We start from the raw sequence: 1,862 nt of genomic DNA, 5'->3' as shown, positions 1-1,862 counted from the left end.
GTTGCTCTTGTTCACATGCCTCTGACACTTAGGCAGTCGATTTTTGTACCATGTGATTCCAGTCTCTTAACTGCAGCTAACTAACTGTATCCAAGGGTAAGTCATTTACAGGCTACAGCAGACAATCACATATCCTGATGTAAAGAGCTGCTCCTAATAGCTATGATAAATATAAATTAAAATTGTTAATTAAAACTAGAGGTATAAAAATATTTTGGCATTCTGCAGTGGTGCTGCAAGAGACAGACATACATAATTTTAATAATGATAGTTAGCATTTACCAGATACTAAATCTACCATGAAAACTAGTAATATGATTTCATTGATTTTTCACAAAATCTCTACAAGGTTGTTAGTATTATTTCCCTTTTGAAAATTAAAAAAAATACCGAGGCTTTAGGTAATTTGCCTAAAATCATACTCCTAATGAATTATGGAGGCTACAATTAGCTCTAAGCAATTTTGATCCTGAATTTTTATTTGCAACCATATTCCTGCTTTAGAGCTCTCCTACAAAGCATTAAAACCAGATAATCTTTCTGCAATTCTCAGAATAAATGACAGTCTGTAAATTATTTTGTTCTGCCTGCCCATCACAACAAGCTTTTCTTTATCTGAACCAGCTTGAGTGAGTCTTTTCTTTGCAACTCAATGAGCTTCTTTTAAAAACAAACTTGTGTCTGTGTTGAGGTATATTGAACGGAACTACAGGCAAATTTTCCTGGCTTTAGAATTCAAGTATTCAGGTCATAAAATCTTCAACCATTTGATTGTTATTCTTCCTTTTACCTCCTGGACGAACAAGCCTTATGATAAACAAAATCGTTTATTTTTTGTGTGCACATAAATATAAATCATGAACTCAGATTTCTATTATTTTGATTGCTTGATTTAGAGGTGTTAAATAAAGTTTAGCCTAAAGCTGCCTCCTTACATATTTTAAGTTCAGCCTAAAGGTTTTTCTGTACATCGTGAACTATAACAAGTGGAGGTATAACCCAGACGACAGCCTATACTTGTGCCAATCACCTAGTTTTGGCCAATCAAATGTAGCCAACTGTTCAAACCATGTTCAAATAAGTCAAATGCCAAGCTGTAACCAATTCAGCTGTTTCTGTACCTTACTTCCATTTACTGTATGTCACTTTCCTTTTTCTGTCCATAAATCATCTTCCACTATGTCTCTGTGCTGGAGTCCCAGTGCCTGCTCTAGCTCAGGAGGCTGCCTAATTCGTGAATCATCCATTGCGCAATTAAACTTCTTTAAATTTAATTTGGCTGAAGTTTTTCTTTTAACAGATGGCATCAGAAGTGAGATCCAAAGTAGAGCTTCTAACGACCCCCAGGAGCGCTGAGTGACAAAGCAATGTACTCAACCACCTGTTGTGCCCATCGCTCGAGCTCTCAGAGCAGCTGGGGATTGTGGTAAGTTCTCTCTTGGATTCCAAAGCTCCATGAATTTTTGTTTTAAGCTCTCCAAGTTTCTTTGAACAATTTTCTGATCCAAACTGGGTCCAGCAGTCACGACAGAAACTGAACTGGGTCCTTGATTAGATTAGATCCGGTAACTAACTGGCTTGGATCCAGTTAGAGGCCTTTTACATCTGACTGGGTCAGAAAGAAACAGGTAGTAAATAGTAATATTGCAGGGGGTATAAAATTTGGCTTTTGGAAATTCGCAGGGATTTTTGTGTTCTACCCTTTTGTTTCACTTTTCATGCATGCTTAGGTTGGAAAAAATTGCTGGCTAAGTTGATCAACGGAACCTGAGAGCAAAGCCAGTATTTTAGGTAAAAATGGGATCCTTAATTTCTGAAGAACTGAGCTTCTTTCGGCTTATACATGGACAAGTGTTAGGCTC

The 1,862-nt window shown here is 37.1% G+C and overlaps 1 annotated feature.

The window, feature by feature from the left end:
• Positions 1,128 to 1,658: an enhancer, noted in NCBI's record as "OCT4-NANOG hESC enhancer chrX:89433889-89434419 (GRCh37/hg19 assembly coordinates)". NCBI's record gives its function as "activates a minimal SCP1, AML or CMV promoter by ChIP-STARR-seq in naive H9 embryonic stem cells {active_cell/tissue: H9 hESC(naive)}" and the evidence as "EXISTENCE:reporter gene assay evidence [ECO:0000049][PMID:30033119]".

The sequence above is a fragment of the Homo sapiens genome, chromosome X (genome assembly GCF_000001405.40).
Source record: "Homo sapiens chromosome X, GRCh38.p14 Primary Assembly".
NCBI classification, from domain to species: Eukaryota; Metazoa; Chordata; class Mammalia; order Primates; family Hominidae; genus Homo; species Homo sapiens.
The sequence above is the reverse complement of the archived record's forward strand: the minus strand, read 5'-3'. Positions and strand labels throughout refer to the sequence as shown.